The sequence below is a fragment of the Homo sapiens genome, chromosome 20 (assembly GCF_000001405.40).
Source record: "Homo sapiens chromosome 20, GRCh38.p14 Primary Assembly".
Lineage (NCBI taxonomy): Eukaryota > Metazoa > Chordata > Mammalia > Primates > Hominidae > Homo > Homo sapiens.
In genome coordinates this window covers 17,523,539-17,544,267 of record NC_000020.11, presented here as the reverse complement: position 1 = coordinate 17,544,267, position 20,729 = coordinate 17,523,539, and the positions used below count along the sequence as shown (strand labels likewise).

The 20,729-nt window shown below is 43.4% G+C and overlaps 1 protein-coding gene across 6 annotated transcripts in view, besides 9 other annotated features; it reads left to right on the top strand.

Moving 5' to 3' along the window:
• Window positions 1-20,729, top strand: part of BFSP1 (beaded filament structural protein 1) — a 75,316-nt gene that overhangs the window by 24,953 nt on the left and 29,634 nt on the right. For 3 of the 6 annotated variants that reach the window (NM_001278608.2, NM_001278607.2, NM_001161705.2), the window contains one exon: window positions 19,360-19,420. In NM_001278608.2, coding sequence (NP_001265537.1) covers window positions 19,400-19,420 — 21 coding nt within the window. In that variant the 5' untranslated portion in view covers window positions 19,360-19,399. Of the gene's footprint in view, window positions 1-3,068; window positions 3,204-12,888; window positions 13,316-19,359; window positions 19,421-20,729 lie in introns of those variants that run through there. The other 3 variants (NM_001424338.1, NM_001195.5, NM_001278606.2) reach the window with 2 other exon arrangements.
• Window positions 5,437-5,637: a silencer, noted in NCBI's record as "peak4154 fragment used in MPRA reporter construct". NCBI's record gives its function as "represses an SCP1 promoter by STARR-seq MPRAs in K562 erythroleukemia cells {active_cell/tissue: K562}" and the evidence as "EXISTENCE:reporter gene assay evidence [ECO:0000049][PMID:32103011]".
• Window positions 7,012-7,081: a silencer, noted in NCBI's record as "silent region_12688". NCBI's record gives its function as "represses an Ori minimal core promoter by ATAC-STARR-seq in GM12878 lymphoblastoid cells {active_cell/tissue: GM12878}" and the evidence as "EXISTENCE:reporter gene assay evidence [ECO:0000049][PMID:35858748]".
• Window positions 10,676-10,735: an enhancer, noted in NCBI's record as "active region_17564". NCBI's record gives its function as "activates an Ori minimal core promoter by ATAC-STARR-seq in GM12878 lymphoblastoid cells {active_cell/tissue: GM12878}" and the evidence as "EXISTENCE:reporter gene assay evidence [ECO:0000049][PMID:35858748]".
• Window positions 12,549-13,088: an enhancer, noted in NCBI's record as "OCT4-NANOG-H3K27ac hESC enhancer chr20:17511825-17512364 (GRCh37/hg19 assembly coordinates)". NCBI's record gives its function as "activates a minimal SCP1, AML or CMV promoter by ChIP-STARR-seq in naive H9 embryonic stem cells {active_cell/tissue: H9 hESC(naive)}" and the evidence as "EXISTENCE:reporter gene assay evidence [ECO:0000049][PMID:30033119]".
• Window positions 12,549-13,629: a biological region, named in NCBI's record as "hESC enhancers GRCh37_chr20:17511284-17511824 and GRCh37_chr20:17511825-17512364".
• Window positions 12,825-12,874: a silencer, noted in NCBI's record as "silent region_12687". NCBI's record gives its function as "represses an Ori minimal core promoter by ATAC-STARR-seq in GM12878 lymphoblastoid cells {active_cell/tissue: GM12878}" and the evidence as "EXISTENCE:reporter gene assay evidence [ECO:0000049][PMID:35858748]".
• Window positions 12,995-13,324: a silencer, noted in NCBI's record as "silent region_12686". NCBI's record gives its function as "represses an Ori minimal core promoter by ATAC-STARR-seq in GM12878 lymphoblastoid cells {active_cell/tissue: GM12878}" and the evidence as "EXISTENCE:reporter gene assay evidence [ECO:0000049][PMID:35858748]".
• Window positions 13,089-13,629: an enhancer, noted in NCBI's record as "H3K27ac hESC enhancer chr20:17511284-17511824 (GRCh37/hg19 assembly coordinates)". NCBI's record gives its function as "activates a minimal SCP1, AML or CMV promoter by ChIP-STARR-seq in naive and primed H9 embryonic stem cells {active_cell/tissue: H9 hESC(naive and primed)}" and the evidence as "EXISTENCE:reporter gene assay evidence [ECO:0000049][PMID:30033119]".
• Window positions 13,345-13,394: a silencer, noted in NCBI's record as "silent region_12685". NCBI's record gives its function as "represses an Ori minimal core promoter by ATAC-STARR-seq in GM12878 lymphoblastoid cells {active_cell/tissue: GM12878}" and the evidence as "EXISTENCE:reporter gene assay evidence [ECO:0000049][PMID:35858748]".

Here is a 20,729-nt window from a genome sequence, read left to right as displayed (position 1 = left end):
CAGCTTCGCGTCCCTTGCCTGGGATATCTCTGTGATGCATTCTACTCTGTCTCCTAGAACCCTTAGATATGTTGAGATCCAGTTGCCCCCATGGTGATGGTGGTCACCCTGCCATCATTGGCTACTTTCCCTTCCCCATCTCACTTCCCCACTCTTCTACTGGTGTCCTGGGATCATGTCCAAAATACATTACTTGTACTCAAATCCTTGCCACGGAGTTGGCTTCTGGGGGACTTCAAGCTAAGACGGATGCTTAAAATAAACATAGACCATGTGCAAAAAATAAAGGCAGATATTTGTTAAGCACTTACCATATGCCAGACAACATTTAAGTCTCACAACAACTCTTTTGGGAACTTCTATCACGTCCAGTTTATACATGAAGCATGTGAGGCTTAGAGAGGTTCAGTGTCTTGTGTAAGTCATGTAGCTAATGGGTCATGAAGGATTTAAATCCAGACTATTTAACTTAAGCGGACATAGTTTTCATGACCACATGTCCTACAACAGCATATCAAGTTGCTTCGCATATCTTCACTGGTACATATTTCATAAGCTTTTGAGGGCATTTTGCTGGTGGATTTTTCTGATAGATGAGCTGATAGATTTTTTGTAACCTATCAACAGTAATAATGTTGCATAACTTGGATGAGTCTGCATTCACCCAATGGAAATCTGAGTCACATGCCAGAAGGTTTTTTTTTTCTAGCCACATGAAGAAGTTCAATAATGTTTTATTTTCTCCTAGCTCTTCTAAAATGTTTTTGCAGCTAACACTGTTGCTGCTGTTTTTCTTAAAACTGGCTTCCCAGCTTAAAATTCATTGTGTGATAAATAAAGGTCACCATTTATGCTCTAATAACAAGTTGGATTGATCCAGGGTTTTAGTCGGTCATGACGCTGTGTGAGGCATATTCATTCCTAATGTGAAAGACAACATTTCATGGGCTCTGGATGACCCTTCTTTGAACTGAAATGCTCTTCTGGCTGCTGACTTTATCAAGTTTTTTCTTTGTTACACGGCAAAAGACACTCTCTGCTTACCGCCACTGTTGGTCTTCAGAAAGAATGAAACAAATGATTTGTGGTTCCTAGAAAATGTTATAAAATTGTTTCCCAAGTTAGGTCACTGCAGTTACAAAATTTTTGTTTCAGTAGAGGAGTTGGCCAAAAACAACAGAGCCAGTGGTCAGCCATTATTCCAGGGGAAAGAAAATATTGAGATTAGCTAGGAGTAACTGCCTCCTTTTCCACTGAAACAGAGACAGATTCCTCTAGCGGTGCTGAAACTATTTTGAGATAAATCTCTTTCTCTCTTTATTTACTGGCTGACTTCCCTAGTTTTTGAAATTGACTTATAAAATTTTGGAAGGCATTTTAACTTTATAAGGCAATTTATTATAAATTATTTTTCAGAAACATCTTGAGCCAACTAGAAATGAAAACAAACCATGTTCTCAGGCTATATACTCTAATTCTAGTCTAATTTTTTAAAACTTAGCATTTAAATTTAGGGTTCCATGTTAAACAATACACTTAGGAAGACTCTCTTTGAGCTTAATGAGACTGAGGAAAGAATGCCAAAATTTCCATCACCAGAGATATGGTATTATTCATAGGTAATGTGAGGTTAGTAAATGTTTAACAACTGACTTTTTTTTTTCTTTTTAAGATGGGGTCTCACTTTGTCACCAGAGCAGGCATGCAATGGTGCGATCATAGCTTACTGCAGCCCTGACCTCTTGGGCTCTAGTGATCCTCCCACCTCAGCCTCCTGAGTAGCAGAGACTACAGGTGCATGGCACCACACCTGGTGAATTTTTTTTTTTTTTTTTTTTTTGGTAGAGATGAGGTCTCTGTATGTTGCCTAGGCTGGTCTTGAATTCCTGGGCTCAAGCAGTCCTCCTATCTCGGCCTCCTAAAGTGCAGGGATTACAGGCATGAGCCACAATGCTTGGCCAACAGCTGACTTTCTAGGAGAGAAATGTCTTCCTTTGTAGTGTTTATCATTCTTGTGGTGTAGATACTCTCACCGTTTCCAATTTCAAGCTACCGATGAGGTGTCAACCAGCTTGCAAAATTCCTGAAAATTTAGCAATTGGCTCTCATGATCTACTAAGAGGCAACTCCAGAACACTCCTGCAGGTGACTCAGCCAGCAAGTGCCCCAAATGCAGGCAGGGGAACATTGATGTGTTGACTCTGCAATGCCCTGAAATTGATTTTGGAGGTTACGAGGACATCAGTTAGCAAACCCTCGCAAAGTGGCACTTTTGGTTACACTGTGTGTGTCACCCCAAAACTCAGGTTACCTTGAGAAAATAATGTACTCTGAGAGAATTTGGTCCAAAATATCCTATTTAATTGTTGTTCTTGCCAAGTCATGCAATTAGGGTCACCGAGGACAGTCCAAGTGCATTTTACAGACAAGGACCACTCACAGCTCTGTGGCTCTGGTTTAGACTGCTATGTTCAGCAAAGGCTGACCACAGAACAAAATAAGCAACCCATATCCAACTTGGATGCTACGCTTTGTAATGGATTTTGTTTTCGGTTGACATCTGAAAAGCCACAGCCATTGAGGATGCCTGGGAAGTGTCTTCATTAGCTATCACTTAAGGACCTCTCTTATTTTGTTCATCTTCTTAAAATAGAAAGCTCTTTTCCAAGGAATTAACTTTTTCTTTTCATGTGTCTTATAACTATAGTCTTTCTGCTGACTGGTGCACTGTTCTCTTTCTTAATAAATGTATTTTTGTTCTGTCCCTATATATTTCCTCTAATGATGACAGACAATGTAAACCTAGCCATCATAGCAGACAGCAAAGTAAATTTCAATTTTGGACTGCTACTAAATTTGACCATGCCCCTTGAAACAGCCCAATCAGCGAATGTGGAATGAGAGGGCCTGGAACTGCTGGTAAGATCCCTTGTAATGATCCATCTTTGGCCAAGCACTATTCAGCTTTCCCATTTAAGAGTTTCATGACAAACCTCCCAACATGCAAAAACTTTATCTTTTATTTCAAGTTTCTATCTAATATTCACTAATTATTATTTTTTTTTTAGAGACAGGGTCTCACTATGTTGCCCAGAATGGGGTGCAGTGGCTATTCACAGGAATGATCATTGCTCACTGCAGCCTTGAACTCCCGGTCTCCAGTGATCCTCCCGCCTCAGCCTCTCAAGTAGCTGGGATTACAGGTGCATGCTACAGCTCCTGGCTCTAATATTCACTCACTCTTTAATTCATTTTATTGGGCATCCACTTTGTGTCAGAAGCTTTAACTAGTTGCTGAATGAGATTTTGTAGCTCCCAGCGTTCCTAGTATCTAACGAGCCAAATGAATCAACAAAGCATGGTGAAGTGCCCATGGTGTAGTAGCAACAGTGGGAAACTATTACTACCTGTAGGCTTTAAAGGAGCAGGAGGAAAGGATCTTGGAGGAGAGATTATGCCAGAGCAGAAGGGAAGCAGGAAGGGAGTCTTTTTGATCTCCTGACAGTGACTCCCATTTGCCAAACCCTACAGGAAGCTAGAGGACATGAGAGGCACCCGGAGGTGATGCAGTCTGGGAGGGCCAGGCTTTCAGCGTTTTAGAGAGGCATGGAGAAGGATGGAGGGTGGGCACCTGGGGAGATCCTCAGGTGGACAATGGCCACTGAGGGATGCCCAGCATTGCTATCAGCCCTGCCCTCAAAGAGCTGCAGTCTAGTGAAGATACTCATACAGCAGGTCTGCCAGGTAAACAGCGGGGGACCTTAACTGGAATGGTGTCTTGGGGTATGGGGGCGTGGGTGTGTAGAACTGAAGACCACTTTAGACATCTTCCTGCATACATTAATATACATGAGGGGTTGGGTGGGAGGTGTAAAGGAGTAGGGAAGATATTGGTGTCAAAGCTGAGGGTGACAGGCAAATGGAGAAAAGGATGATGTATGCTGGGTGAGAAGTAAAGCCTGATGACATAAATTTCAAATAAATGAAGGCATAGAAGTCAGTAGGAGTTGATCATGAGCAGGCAGGTGGTAGAGGGTGGAATAGCAGGAAATATTCACATCACTTGTAGCTCCTTACCAAATGAACTAACAAGTCAGATGGTTGGAATAGGTCATTCTTTGAATTTTGGCCAGACCCTGCTAAACAATGGCGAACTTCTGTAAACTGACTATTTTTAGAATTTCATTAGAAAACTTCATGTGGAGTTTAGGTCTGAGGGGCCGTTGAGGGGCTTAAAATGTATAGTATACTCCTAAACTGTACCTTACTATACTCCTAAACTGTATGCACAATATGAAAATAGTTCATAAAATAGCTTGCACTATTGTTGTCCCCCCCAATTTCAGGTCAACGCTGGGAAGCTAGTGAACTTTGGAAGATAGAACATGTTCTCTTGTGTTCAATCAGTCCCTACTGATATTAATAGAAAAGTAGACCTGGACCTACAAAACAATGGACAGCCCAAATGTATGTTTCTTTTTTTAATTTTTGTCTTTTTTTTTGAGATAGAGTTTTGCTCTGTGGCCCATGCTGGAGTGCAGCGACACAATCATGGCTCACTGCAGCCTTGACCTGCCAGGCTCAGTCTATCCTCCCACCTCAGCCTCCCGAGTAGCTAGGACTACAGAGGTACACACCACCATGCTCAGCTAATTTTTTGTATTATTATTATTATTTTTTATATATAGCGACAGGGTTTTGCCATGTTGCCCAGGCTGGTTTCAAATTCCTGTGCTCAATCAATCCACCTGCCTCAGCCTCCCAAAGTGCTGGGCGAGAGCCAGATGCCCAGCCCCCAAATGTATGTTCAATCTATGAATATATGAATGTATATTTCTATCAGAAATATATTCATGGGCTGGGCATGGTGGCTCACACGTGTAATCCCAATACCTGGGGAGGCTGAGTCAGGAGGATCACTTGAGGCCAGGAATTCGAGACCACCTGAGCAGCACAGCAAGACTCCTGTGTGTATGAAACAGTTTAAAAATTAGCTGGGCATGGTAGTGTGCACCTGTAGTCCCAGCTAGTTTGGCAGCTGAGGTGGGTGAGTCGCTTGAGCCCAGGAGGTTGAGGCTGCAGTGAGCTGAGATTGTACCACTGCACTTCAGCCTGGGCTGAGCAAGACCCCATTGCAAAAAAAAAAAAAAAAAAAAAAAAAAGAAGAAGAAATATATTCATGGATGCATGTGCCCAATTCCTTGGGATCTATCTCCTAACTGATACAAAGCAGGGCTGGAACATCCTTCTTTTTAGGACAGAGTGGGCATGCCAGTTGGACAACTGTGGCTTGGTAATATATCAAACCACTTGACAGTGTATTCCCAGAAGGAAACGGGCTGTGGTTCAGATGTAGGCTGACCCAACTTGAAAGTGGTGGTAGGTTTGTTTAATGATATCTTAGAGAGAAATATAGGGCAGAAATATGAATACCATGGCTAGATTTATAGCCACAGAAATTATAACTGTAAAAGACACTTCTCCAAACGCAGTCCTGAGGATGGCACCTGCTGGGACAATGACTCATTTCTGCATTTCTGAGGTCATGGGAAGGGCTGCTTTTCATGCATAACCAGAATGACGATGAGTTGGTACGACAATGTCTCAAGGACATTCTGAGACTGTGCAGAGAAGGCAAGTCCAGATGTCTCTGAAAATCCGTACCATCATTTCGGTAGGTGTAAAACTCCTACCGTGGTTGTCAATGAAATCCTGGTTGCTGAGATCATGATACCATCTGGTGAATCAAAGGAAGATTTTTGCGTTTTCTTGCTATCATTAAGAAACACCTGTTCTCAGCACAATTTTCCTGGAGGTGTTGGGATTTTGAGAGGTAACTTTTTCTTTTGTTACAATTTCAAACTTATGGAAAAGTTGCAGGAGGAGTAAAAGGAACTTCTATACCTCTTACCTAAATCCACCAATCATTTGCTTTATTATTTTATGTATTTATTTATATATGTTTATATCAACATAAATGCATATCTATTATTTATTTTTTGAACCATTGAGAGTAAGTTGGACATCATGCCTCATCCCCAAACCAGTTTCCTATGAACGAGGTCATTTTCTTTCCTTCCTTCCCTTCCCTTTCTTCCTTCCTCCTTTCCTTTCCTTTCCTTTCTCTCTTTCTTTTTTTTTTCTTTTGAGACACAGTGTCCTTCTGTCACCCAGGCTGGAGTGCAGTGGCACAGTCTTGGCTCACGGCAACCTCTGCCTCCCAGGCTCAAGTGATCCTCTCATCTCAGCCTCCCAAGTAGCTGGAACTACAGACATGTGCCACCATGCCCGGCCAATTTTTGTATTTTTGGGGGTAGAGACAGGGTCTCATTATATTGCCCAGGCTGGTCTTGGATTCCTGGGCTCAAGTAACCCTCCTGCCTCGACCTCCCAAAGTGCTGGGATTACAGGGGTGAGCCACAGCACCCAGCCAAGGTCATTTTCTTACATGTCGTAATACAATGTTTAAAATTAGACATTTTAACTCTGTTACAATATTTTTATCAATCCTCATTCCATATTCAAATTTCATCAATTGTCATCACAATGTCCCTTATAGATTTTATTTTTGCAGTCTAGGGTCCAGTTTAGGATCCTGCATTACATTTGGTAATCCTGCCTTTTGTCGGTGCCTGTCAGTCAAAGCACCAGGCACACACTTGCTGTCACACAAATTTGTTTTTTTTTTTTTTTTTTTTTGGTGCTTCAGTTTCTGAATTAGACCCTGAGAAAAGCAGGTTGGATGCTTAGTGCTCTCTTTGATAGTGTTTGAATCTCAGGCTTCATTTTCCAGCAACTCTTCAGAGTCAACTGCGTGTGTGCAGTTAGTTGGAGAGAGAGCCTTGCTTCTGAGTGTGTTTCTCCATCTGCTGTGACCCTTCCTACAGACTCATCACTTCCAGGAGCACTGAGCATACTTCACGGGTGCGTCTTTAGAGACTGGGGCCTCATGGAGAGGCCTGGCTACAGGGAGCAGGGATAGTAGGGATCCGGGAGCCAGGGGTCTGCCTGCCCTTTTACTCCTGGGCTGTCACTTTCCATGGCTGACTTACCTTTTGAGTTGGTCCAGTTTGGTGGAAAGGCTTCAAGCTGCACCCTGGTGGGACCATGTGGCAGGGCATTCAATTTTAGTATAGGGTGGCCCTCTTGTGGCAGACATTTGCATGTTCTGGGTAAAGGACGGATGGTAAAAGGTGCAGAGTCAGAGTGTTAGAGCAGTGTATTCGTTTGCTAGGGCTTCCAGAACAAAGCACCACAGACGGGTCCACCCTAACAGCCTCAATTACCTCTTTACAGGCCCCATCTCTGAAGGCAGCCACATTTTGAGGGAGTTAGGACTTCAACATGTGAGATTTGGAGGAATACAATTCTGCTCATAATAAGCAGAAAGGAACCTTAGATATTCTTTAGCTTAAGTCCATCATTGTAGAAAACAGATTGACCTGTTCAAGGTCACACAATAGTAGGCAGCAGAGACCTAACGTGAAACCCACCTCTAAGGAATATATGATTACCTCCATTACCTTTTGTTTCTGTAAAATGTCCAAAGCAAACTCAGAATGTATCTCAACTGAAAGGGATGGCTCAAAATGCTAGAGTATGAAATTGACTAAAAGGCAAAACATCTAAGCCTATTTTACTCAGGCTTTTAGATATTTGTTAGTGAAGAAAAATGTTAATTAAAAAATTTTGAAACTGTATTTTACATTTAAATAACTTTATTTTATTTATTTTTTGAGACAGGGTCTCATTCTATCACCTAGACTGGAGTGCAGTGGTGCAATCTCAGCTCACTGCAGTCTCTGCCTCCCAGGCTCCAGCAATCCTCCTACCTCAGCCTCCTGAGTATCTGAGACTACAGGCATGTGCCTATATTTTTTGTCGACATGGGGTTTCACGATGTTGCCCAGGCTGGTCTTGAACTTCCGGGCTCAAGCAGTCCACCCGCCTTGGCCTCCCAAAGTGCTGGGATTGTAGGTATGAGCCACTTCACCCAGCCTTAAACAACTTTAAATGGAATAAAAGATATGATGAACATTAAACCTGGCATATTTCACTAATTTCTGATATTTTTGTACTGCTAAAATTACCATGCATCTGGTATTTTGCTTTTCTTTTCCCCTTCAAGTTTGTTATAAGCATTTTTATTTATATCATAGTATATTCCACAAGGTTAAAATTGTTTGGTGGGGCCAGGTGTGCTAACTCTTACCTGTGATCCCAGCACTTTGGGAGGCTGAGGCAGGAGGATTGCTTGAGGGCAGGGAGTTCGAGACCAGTGTGGGTAACATAGCAAGACCCTGTTTTTTTAAAAAAATAAATACATAAATAAAATAAATAAGTAAAATTGTTCAATGGTTATAGCCCATTTTCTCCTATTGTTACTGCAGTTTGCTAAGCCATTCTCCTCTCTGCACCTCTCCCTCTCTTAGCCATTATACATATATATAGCTATAACATAAAGCAAGTAATATTTATTAAATGTCTATACTGCAAAGGTGATCACACTTTTTGCAGGTGTTTTGGAAAATAATTTCAAACTTTCTAGGAAAAATGGCAAGAATAGTACAAACAACCCAGATTCACCTCTTAATATTTTGTCTAATTTCCTTACTATCTCTCATACTTATTTATGTTTATATTTATACATGTCATTTTATTCAGAATCATTTGAGAATAAGTTGCATACATCATGGGTCTTTGCTCCTAGATAGTTCAGAGTATATTTTCCTTTTTTTGAGATGAAGTCTCGCTCTGTTGCCAGGCTGGAGTGCATTGGCATTATCTCGACTCACTGCAACCTCTGCCTCCTGGGTTCAAGTGATTCTCCTGCCTCAGCCTCCCAAGTAGCTGGGACTACAGGTGTGTAGCACCATGCCTTGCTAATTTTTTTGTATTTTTAGTACAGATGGGGTTTCACCATGTTGGCTAGGATGGTCTTGAACTCCTGACCTCATGATCCGCCCACCTTGGTCTCCCAAAGTGCTGGGATTACAGGCGTGAGCCACCGTGCCCAGCCTGAGCCCTCAGAGTGTATTTTCTAAGAATAATGATATTATTTTACATAGCTGTAGCATAGTCATAAACTTCAGTAAATTTAATCTTGATACAATTTTATGTTCTAATCTACTATTTATATTCTAATTTTGTTAATGAACCTAGTGATAACCTTTATAGCAGTTTTTCTCCTCCAATACAAGATCCAGTCTAGGATCCATATTGCATTTATTTATTTATTTTTATTTTTGAGATGGAGTCTCACTCTGTCACCTAGGTTGGAGTGCAGTGGCGTGATATTGGCTCACTGCAACCTCTACCCCTCCGGATTCAAGGAATTCTCATGTCTCAGCCTCCCGAGTAGCTGGGACTACAGGCACAAGCCACGACGTCCGGCTAATTTTTTGTATTATTAGTAGAGATGGGGTTTCACCATGTTGGCCAGGCTGGTCTCGAACTCCTGACCTCAGATGATCCACCCACCTCAGCCTCCAAAGTGCTAGGATTACAGGCATGAGCCACCACACTCGGCCCTATACTGCATTTAGATGTCCTGTCTCTTCAGTCTCCTTTAATCTGGAACATTTTCATAGCTTCTCTTTGTCTTTTATGATATTAACATTTTTATAGAATACCATCCCCCTTCTGTTTTTATTAATAGGATGTTCCTTCTTTGGGATTTATCTGGATGATTCCTTATGGTCAGATATAGGCTACATATTCAGGTTATGCAGGCCAGATAAAAGACGTGTATTTCTCAGACAAACCAAGATACCCTTGAGAGTGAAAGATGGTGCTTGCTATATTTACGCTGAGATAGTGGGTGTAAATGTGTCTTAGGCAAACTGGGATGTGTGGTTACCCTACTTACATAAGTGATTATTCTCATTTTACCAGTCTCCATACTGGGACTAGATAGGTTAAATCACTTACTGAAGTGATGGGACCAGAACTTAACCTCAGATCTTTCTTATTCTAAAACATCCATTTCCTGTCCCTGCCCCCAAACTAGTGCCATTCAACTGTATTTAGAGTAACTCTTCCATAGCTGACCTTTCATCAAGTCCTGTGGAATCTATCTCTACGAACATGTCTCTTGAATTAACAAATTCATTCAGCAATGATTTCTTCCTTATGCATACGATCTCTACTCCTACTGAATGGTCTCCTATCAGTGATATGGTCTTTAGGGCTGTTGACAAATATTGCACACTCCTTCTAAGCACATAGCAGGATTGCATTTCCCAGTGCACCTGAAGTTAGACAATACAACCACAGCATTTTGCTAAGATCTTTATTTTAGAAGTTGTCCAGATTATCTTGTGTTTTCATTAGTCAGTATGGATTCGCCTCCTGCACCCTGAGGGCAGAGACTTGATTTTGTGCAATATTTAACTCTGAGGCTACGCTTTGTGAGGAGATATTTTCTGAGTGTTTATTTCACTGGATTAAATTGAAAGAATTTTTTGTTATGTTTCTAGAATATATTTTTCTCAAATGGTATTGCCATGTGTGGTCGATTGAGTTGTGGGTCCTGATTCTCCACTCCAGCATGATGGGATTATCCACCCACACCCTTGCCAGGGCCTCAGGCTGAGCCCTGCCTCCTCCTTGCTTCCTCTTGACTTTATTTGTGGCCATGTGATTTGCTTTGACCAATGAGATGTCAGCAGACATGATGCAAACAAAGGCCTGGGATGAGCTTGTGTGGCTGGGCTTGCTCTTGTGCTTTTTTCATTGCTAGTTTAGAAGCTTGAGGGACATTGGGAGCAGAGCAGCCCCTGCTGAAAGGAGACCTACAGCTGGAAGACAGCTGAGCTCCCAGCCCCAGGGAATGCAGTGATAAATACTTCTATTTTGTTCTGTAGCAATATTTGACTGATACATGGTATCATAGGGAACAAATGATTTTATAACTCTTGCTATATGTTGGTTTTGCTCTCGTGAGGAAGCCTGAAGTCAATTTACCATGCTATCAGCATGGTATATGTGCACCTACAAAAATATTCATGTGGTTATCCTCAATTTGACCATACAATTACATTTTATGTATTTTTATTTATTATTTTTATTTTTATAAATAAAAGAAATGGGGGTCTCACTATGTTGCCAAGGCTCGTCTTGAACTCCTGGCCTCAAGAGATCCTCCCACTTTGGCCTCCCAAAGTTCTGGATTAGAGGTGTGGTCCACTGCACCTGGCCAAATCTAATTTTAAATGGTTTAAGAAAATAGAACAATAACCATGCCACCAGCACAGTTTAGGGCCTTGCAGAGCTTTATTCCAGACGGAATCTATTATCTTGAGGTAATATTTTGGTGTAATAATAAACTCCACAAAGATCTGTGTAATTTTCTTTCTCTATCTTTGATAACTATGACTTTAATTTGTAGTATAATCACACACAATCCATATAGTTAGTAATTATATGGTACTACTAATCCTTTTAAGAAAACAACCCTTTTGATACTTATTTTTAAAGTTGGAGATATGACAAAATATTTACATTCAGAAACATTCTCATCAAGTGGTATTAATTTCTTTTCTTAAATTTACTTTTAAATTTGTCAAAGTCTAGCTATTAATTATATATATATATTTTAAAAGCTTGTCCTTAAAATCCAACTATTAGTTCCATAATAAAAATTAAAATGGAACATAATGGCACAAAATCCTTTATTATTCTCGAATTGAGGGTTGGCCAATTAATGGCGGATCACTTGAGCCCAGGAGTTTGAGTCCTGCCTGGGCAACATAGCAAGACCCCATCTCATTTTTTATTAAAATTTTTTTGTATTACATTTTATGTTAAAAAAAGAAAAAGAAAAAAGCAATCTTTTTTTCTTTTTCTTTTTTTTTTTTTTTTTGAGACGGAGTCTCACTCTGTTACCCAGGCTGGAGTGCAGTGGGGCGATCTCGGCTCACTGCAGCCTCCGCCTCCCAGGTTCCAGCGATTCTCCTGCCTCAGCCTCCCAGGTAGCTGGGATTACTGGCACACGCCACCACGCCTGGCTAATTTTGGTATTTTTAGTAGAGACGGAGTTTCACCATGTTGGCCAGGCTGGCCTCGAACTCAGGTGATCCGCCCGCCTCGGCCTCCCAAAGTGCTAGGATTACAGGCGTGAACCACCTATTACAGGCCCATGGGTGGGGCTCTATTTGTTTTTTCCATTCAAGAAAGCATGTCAAACTCCATCAGAGCATGGGTGAATTATAAAAACATAACCGTGCATGTCTCCTAAGTTATTGTAGGCTTTTATGCACGGGTATTACTAAGAAATTACTTGCGCCACACCTCACTACTTAATGGAGACATGCCATTTTATTTTGCATCCATGGTTAAGAACCTCTGCTATACAGAAGGGTCCTAAACGTCATGTTATGATTATGAAAAAGAATTGCATGCATAACCGAGCAATTGGAAATAAAAAAGACCAAAAGAAAAAAAAAAGAATTGCTTAAGTAATCAGAAAAAAAAAATGGCATTGTTAAAGAGTTCTACAATTGAGTTTGAATGCAAGAGGAGACAAAGTGACAAGCCCTGGGCTCTTGAGCTAGTCCAAGTTTAAAGAGTTCGCTTGGGGATTCCTTCACAGTCCCCAGTGGAACCAGTGAAAAGAGCGTCATGGCTCCCGTGTCCCCTGACCCTCCATTCAATCAAAAGCAACAGGCCTGAACAATCACGGAACAAAAACCTCATTGCCCAGCGTAACCTTCCAACCCCGGAGCTGTATGGGCCGCTAATCCGCCGCACAAAGCGGGCCGCTGCTCTTTTCTTCTCCCGCGCCCGGGCCCAGCGTGGCGCCCAACTGCTGATCGGCTCTGGAACGTCCCAGCAGCGCGCCGGGGGCCTCCGGTGTTTATTTAGCGGGCTGCGGGCTGCGCCGGGGGCCTCCTGGAGAGCCGGCTCGGCGCCGCCCGCGCGCCCGCGCCAGAGCAGCCATGTACCGGCGCAGCTACGTCTTCCAGACCCGCAAGGAGCAGTACGAGCACGCCGACGAGGCTTCGCGCGCCGCCGAGCCCGAGCGCCCGGCCGACGAGGGCTGGGCTGGGGCAACGAGCCTGGCGGCGCTGCAGGGGCTCGGCGAGCGCGTGGCCGCCCACGTCCAGCGGGCCCGCGCCCTCGAGCAGCGCCATGCCGGGCTCCGGAGGCAGCTGGATGCCTTCCAGCGCCTGGGCGAGCTGGCCGGGCCCGAGGACGCCCTCGCCCGCCAAGTCGAGAGCAACCGCCAGCGCGTCCGGGACCTGGAGGCCGAGCGCGCCCGGCTGGAGCGCCAGGGCACCGAGGCGCAGCGCGCGCTCGACGAGTTCCGAAGCAAGTAAGCGGCGGCCATCGGGGGAAACCGAGGCAGGGCGTGGGCCGTCCCGGCGGCGCGGGGCTGGGAGCACGCTGCTACCATGCAGGGGTGGAGCGCCGTCTCTGGTCCCCTGTCGATCGATGACCTCATCCCTGCACGCAGGTGGCACATTTCCTTAAGCTAAGACTGGCTTCTGTTTTGATGGCACGTCACAGTTTACACGAAGTTGTATCATTTACTTTTCATCTATTTTTAAATTTTGGTATAACTTACATGTTATAAAATGCACAGATTTGAAGTGCATAGTTCAGTGAGTTTTGACAAATGTATATACCCGTGTTACCACGAAAACAAGTGAGATATTTCCACTACCCCTGAAAGTTCCCTCCTCCCCTTTCCCAGTCAGTCCCCTTTGCCCCAGACCGGAGGCACCCATTCTGATTTCTATCACCATAGATTGACTTTGCCTATTCTACAGTTCCACAAAAATAGAATCTTACGGGATGTACTCTATTGTCTGGCTTCTTTTGCTCAGCACATTGGTTTTGAGATGTACCGATGTTATTTAATCCTTACATACTTATCTTTACTGCACCTGTTTTACAGATGAGGCGACTGAGGCTCAGAAAATGTAGGGATTTGGCCAGCAAGGCCCCTCAGCTGGCGAACTGCTGTCCCGGGACTGGAATTTAGGTCCTGGGCATGCTAAGTCTAATTGCCTTCATGGCATAGCAGCTGACACCTGGGAATTATGCTCAGTATGTGTCCTCTAGTGTCTTGATACTCAAAGTGCGGTCCATGGACCAGCAGTATTGGCATCACCCGGGAGTTTGCTAGAAATACAGATTCTTGGGCCCACCCTAGAACTCCAGAATCAGAATCTGCATTTTAACAAGCTCCCCAGGTGATTTTCAGTTTAAAAAGTTAAATGTTGACTAAGCAGCACTGGTCCAGGGCATGGTCTCCCCTCCCACAGATTGAGTAATGTGTTAAAATCACATAGGAGCTGTTAAAAAAAAGATGCAATTTGTCAACATTTTTTCAAGTTATAAATGTGTGTGCTCTTTGACTCAGAAGGCTACTTTGAGGAATGTATTATAGGATGCACTCCAGCAGGTGTGCAATGGCATGCCTCCACCAATACTGCAGCAGGTACACTCCAGCAGGTGTGCAATGGCATGGCTGCAAAGATACTCACTGCAACAGGTACACTCCAGCAGGTGTGCAATGGCATGCCTGCAAAGATACTCACTGCAGCAGGATCTGCAATAAGCCTGGAACCAAATAAATGCCCATTAAAAGGAGACAGGTGCTTCCTCCATGTAATGGAATACTATGCAGTGGAAAAAAGTATGTTATTGTCATGTAGTCTTTTAAAAGGGGAGGAGAGTAGAGTTTTTTTTTTGCTTGCATAAAAAGAATTTCAGGACACACACAAAGACACACACACACAGACACACACACAGGCACATGCCCCAATGACACTGGCTACCTGAGGGAGATAAGTGAGTAGGAACTGAGCAATTGGGAGACAGAGGTGGGAAGGAGACTTTTAACAGAACATCTTTTTATATCTTTAAAAAAATTATTTAACTATGGGCTGGGTGCAGTGGCTCACGCCTGTAATCCCAGCACTTTGGGAGGCCAAGGCAGGCAGAACACTTGAGGTCAGGAGTTCCAGACCAGCCTGGCCAACATTGTGAAACCCTGTGTCTACTTTAAAAAATACAAAAATTAGCTGGGTGTAGTGGCACACGCCTGTAGTTCCAGCTACCCGGGAGGCTGAGGCAGGAGAATCACTTGAATCTGGGAGGCGGAGGCTGCAGTGAGCTGAGATTGCGCCACTGCACTCCAGCCTGGGTGACAGAGTGAGACTCTGTCTCACACACACACACACACACACACACACTTATTTAACCATGTAAGATATTCATCCATTTAAAATTACATAAATGAATTTTAAAATACAGATGTCTAGGCTCTACCCTGGACCTCAAGAGGGGCCCAGAAGCTTAAACATTTTTAATGAGTGCCACTGGTCATTCCAGCCAGATTTGGGAACCCTTGGCATAGGGTAGTCAGAGGATTTCTGTAAACCTGCTCTATGTTTGAGTTCCAGTTTCTCAATCTGAATCTTGGGCAGGTTATTCATTGTTGTGTTCTGAACACATTTATCAAATCACATTTATTGATTCGATTCCTGTCAGCTCTTTTGTCTTGGGGTTTAATCTGTAGAAACAGACTTGGAGCTGGTAGAAGGGACCTGAAAATCCACTTGTTACAGAACTTCATGGGGAAACTGAGCCTGGGAGAGGGCCTGTGGGTGGCAGAACTTGAACCTGGGTTTTCTCACCCTGGGCCTATGCTCTTTCGGGAACACTGTATCTTGAGATAATCCGTTCTTGGACTCCTGCAGCCTAAGGCCCAGAAATAGGACCTCATTCAGATGAAGCTCATGTTCTCCAAAGCAAAGGGGGAAAGTGCCCTGTGGCTCAGACATCCGGGGCAGCTTGATGGACCATCAAGATTCCCTGGATGGCCTTTGTGTTGGCATTAGACCATAGTCTACTGTACTTTGGCTGGTAAGCATGACATCCATGAGTCCTAGTTGAAGGAAAGGCCATGTTGGGTTTTCCTGGTCTTTACTGATTGCACTTGGTTCTGAGTTATATGCCCATCATGAAGCAGTTCCATCAGGCTCTGTGATTTATTTAAAATTCATATTAATTTATTCCCTCCCTTTGCCCCCTTGGAGAAGTTTTGACATTTGGATTGTGGTAGTGGGAACTGAAAATCATTATAGAAATGCTCATCCACATCCATAGGCACACACACATACACATACATGCCAGGCTGGAGTTTACATTCCAGAGGTGAGTTGATGGCTACCTAAAGCCAGGGGAAAATAATGCAGCAATGGGTTAGTATGTGCAGGCTTGGTTCCATGCCAGTGCTAGGCATAGTCTCTACCTGGCAGTTGAATAATTTCAAAATCAGGTCTTTAACAGGTCAAAGACTAAACAAAACACTGAATAAAACAAGAATGAAATAAAAACAAAACTATCAAAATACAACAACAGAGTCAATTATTCAAATTGTTGAAAACTAAAAATAATTTATGTAAAACAGTTAATTGAAGCCAGTTTTTTCACTTTATGAATATACTTATATGAATATACACATCATGAATTCTTTGTAGTGAAATCACTCTCTCTCTCTCTCTTATTTTATTTTATTATTTTTTTTGATACAGAGTCTCGCTCTGTCACCCAGCCTGGAGTGCAGTGGCGTGATCTCGGCTCACTGCAAGCTCTGCCTCCTGGGTTCACGCTATTCTCCTGCCTCAGCCTCCTAAGTAGCTGGGACTACAGGCGCCCACTACCACACCCTGCTAATTTTTTTGTATTTTTAGTAGAGACAGGGTTTCACCGTGTTAGCCAGGATGGTCTCGATCTCCTGACCTCGTGATCTGCCCGCCTCGGCCTCCTAAAGTGCTGGGATTACAGGCGTGAGCCACCGCGCCCGGAAATCACTTCTCTTTAATATAATATCTAGACTTGTCTTTACAGCATGAAAATTACTCACAATATCAGGTTAATGTGTTGATCCTCAAACATGTTCTTAAGCTATGGAAACTCTTAGATATTTCCAGCAGGAAAGAGCAATAAGAAAATTAGATTTTATTAAGTTTTATTCTCAAAGCTAATTATACATTTAAAAACTAATTTCTGGCTCTGTTATTGCAACACACAAAATAAACTACTAAATGTAACATCCTGATGTGAAATGTAAAACTTATGCAGAGATGTTTAGTTTCCTAGATAGAACTCAGCTTCGCAGATGGTTTTAGATCTGGGAATGCGTGCACATTGCACATATTCATAATTGTTCTTCCTTCAGTTCATGACTTTTCCTTCTGAGAACATGGTGGTGTGGTTTTCTAGCACCTTTCATGGTTGCAGAATACTTGACTTGAACCCATGGCATGGGCATGCAAGGGCACAGAAAACTATGCTTTGTGGATTGGGCTCAGTGTTAATTAGGATTGCTTTCAACTATAAAGGACAGAAACTCCAAACTGACATTGACCCACTTCAGACCAATTAGGATGGCAACTATAAAAAACAAAACAAAACAAAAAACAACAGAAAATAAGTGTTTGTTAGGATGTGGAGAAATTATGGACTGTTGATGGGACTGTAAAATGGTACAGCCATTGTGGAAAACAGTATGGCAGTTCCTCAAAAAATTAAAAAATAGAGTTACCATATGATGCAACATTTCCATTTCTGTGCATATACCCAAAAGAATTGAAAGAGGGTTTTGAATAGCTACTTGCATATACGTGTTCATAACAGCACTGTTCACAATAGCTAAAATGTAGAAGCAACCCAAGTGTCCACTGACAAAGGAATACGTAAACAAAATGTGGTCGATACATAGAATATTATACACCCTTAAAAAGGAAGGTAATTCTGACATATGCTACAATATGGTTGAAACTTGAAGACATTATGCTAAGTGAAACAAGCCAGTCACAGAAAGAAAAATATTGTATGATTCCACTTACATAAGGTAGTTGGGCGTGTCAAATTCATAGAGACAGAAAGTACAATGGTGGTTGTCAGGGCTGGGGATGGGGAGAATGGGGAGTTAGTATTTAATGGGTACGGAGTTTCTGCTTTGCAAGATGAGGAGTTACAGAGATGGATGTTGGTGGTGATTTCACAACATTATGAATATATTTACTATCACAAACTATATACTTAAAATGGTTAAGTTGGTAAATTTTATGTTATGCATATTTTACCAGCCCCCCCCCCCCCCCCCCCGCCATACAGAAAAAAACAGAAAAAGTGATACTGGCTTACCCAAAATGTCATTGGCTTATCCAAAATGTTTCTCACTTGTGTAAGGTCTGGTTAAGCAGTTTAGTATGATACTGTACAGTATTTGGGACACAGAAGGTTCTGTGTGGCCTTCAGGAAGGCAGCATTCATGTTTCTGGCTGCAGGATGGAGGGAGGGATGGAAAATGAGAAGCAAAGGGCACACATACACCATTACTTAACTAAAGGTATCTGGAAGCTGCCATGCAGACTTATGCTTCCATCCCATTGGTCAGGACTTAGTCACATGGCCACACCTGGCTGCAAGGAATGCTGGAAAATGTAGTCTCCCTTCTAGGCAGTCCTGTGCTTGCCAAGCATCAAGGGCTCTAACTCCTGAAGACAGCAAGAATGGGCATTTGGGGGTCACCTTATAGGGAACAAGGGGAGGGGTCATTTAGGAAGGAATCTTCTCTCTTTAGGGTTAAAATTCCCCCAGAGGGACGTGCCTCAGTTGTCCCAGCCGAGCAGAAAAGGAGCTGGGGTACTTATGCTCCAATTTGCCTCATTCAGAGTTTGTGGGCTGCTCCCAGAGGCCCTGACTCCCTGGCACGTCCAGCCTGCCCCACCCATTTGCCCAGAGGAGGCCATCGCTGTGTGGGGAGTGATGCTGCTGGGAGGAGGGAAAAGTGTGCGGAGCATCTGCCTGAGTTTCCTCATCTTTAATGCAGCACTAACAATAACTGCTTTCTTCTGGGGTGATGTAAGGATTAAATGACATAATCCAGAAAAACTGACAAATTACATGTGTCAGCAAATAAAATACTATAGGAAATCCAAGTACGGTCAGGTTAATGGTGGTGTAGATTGTGCAGGGCAGTCTCCCATCTCTGCCACTGCTGCACTTGGGTTATAGATAGGCTAGGATATAATTCCCTCATCCTTGGGGTGGCTGGGAATAAGGCTGTAGGGGCTGGGGTTGGTGCCTTCGGGCTGGGAGACTCCTATTCCGCTAACTGCCCCTGGTTACCCCACGCGGTGTGCAAATGGTACCACTTTCTGATTGGGAGGCAGTCAGCTAGGAAATGCAGCATTCGTTAGCTACTACTTTAAAATTAAGACCCTCTCCTTAAAGGAGAGGGCATCGTACCCAGGTTGAATTTAATGCTGATTATGTGATCCATACATGTGAAAGCATGGTAGTTACCCAACTCTCACTTATGTGTCCAATTTGCAGGTATGAAAATGAGTGCGAATGTCAACTCCTGCTAAAAGAAATGCTTGAACGGCTTAACAAGGTGAGCGGAACACATCCTTGGGTTTACGTAGCTTAATTACAGTGTTGAATGGAATGGTGGAAGTGCAGGTTTTACAGGCTTCCTCTTTGTGTTACTTTGGCGGTCACTACTTCTTTTGCAGTCACTCTGTCTCTTGACTTGTTAATTTCAATTGAGTCTTTATGAGTGAACTCACACACCCATACACACACCCCTCTCTCACGAGAGAAACACAGACTATGAAGCTTGTTGGTTATGCTAGGCTAGCAAAACCTGCCGGCGTTACAGTGACAAGCTGCTGTTTTACTTGTCAGACATACTGATGCCCAACACCAAATTTAGGAAGGACCTTGCTTTGGGCAGTGGTTATTTGGACACAGTGATACCTCTGTCCTATTGGCTAAGAGTTTTGAGATTGCGGCTCCACAGAAGTCTCAAGATAACAGAGGAAGAAATTTCTATTTCCTCTAGAGTTCCCTCTTATAGCGTGACCAATAGCCCCAGGGGAGATGCCAGGGGTTCTTAGCCACTTGACTTTCCTGCAGGGTTATGTGGAGTTGCTCTTTACAGAACAGTGGTGATTTCCTTCTTGGGATTCTTCATCATGATTCTAACTAACTGATTGGATTTTCTGCTTTTGCTGGGAGAATCCCACCACCAAAAAGCAGAATGATTCTGGACCACCAGGGTTGTACAGAACCAGGGATGGCACATAGCTTTAAGCATGGCCCTTTTCTGATCGTTTTTGAGCTCCAATGTCAGAGCAGAACGACCCATGGAGACTATTTAGTGGAAAGGCTGCTTGATTAGGGCACATGGGCTGCCCTTCCCCGCCCCTTCCATGCCTACAACTCATCAAAATTGCTGACAAAACCGCAGACTCTTCCCTGCCATGCCCAGGTATGCTTTAGGCTTCTTTGCCACATGGAACTCCAAGCAGCCTCTTTGGACAGTCAGGGTTAGCGCCGGATGTTTGCCATCCCTTCACTTTGTCCAGCCTTTGCTGTCTAGGATTACTCTGCTGGTTGAGGGGAAAATCAGAACTAGAATCTAGGGGAAACCCAATTTTGCTTTGTCTATGTTACCTGCCCCTCTGCGCGTGAGCACGTATGATATGTTCAAACCAGGACAGTGTGCAAAAGAGGGTGCAGTTTGTAATAACACAGGTCAGTCAATGCAGGCTGGGACTCTCAGGACAGCTAGTAGGACACTTGGGCACCCTAGATAGAAACACAGAGATGGCAGTGAGAATGCACTTCAGGAAGGCCCTGAGGACACACGCTCAATAGTTGGCTTGGAAAACGATGGCCTCGAGCCTGTTGGACATCTG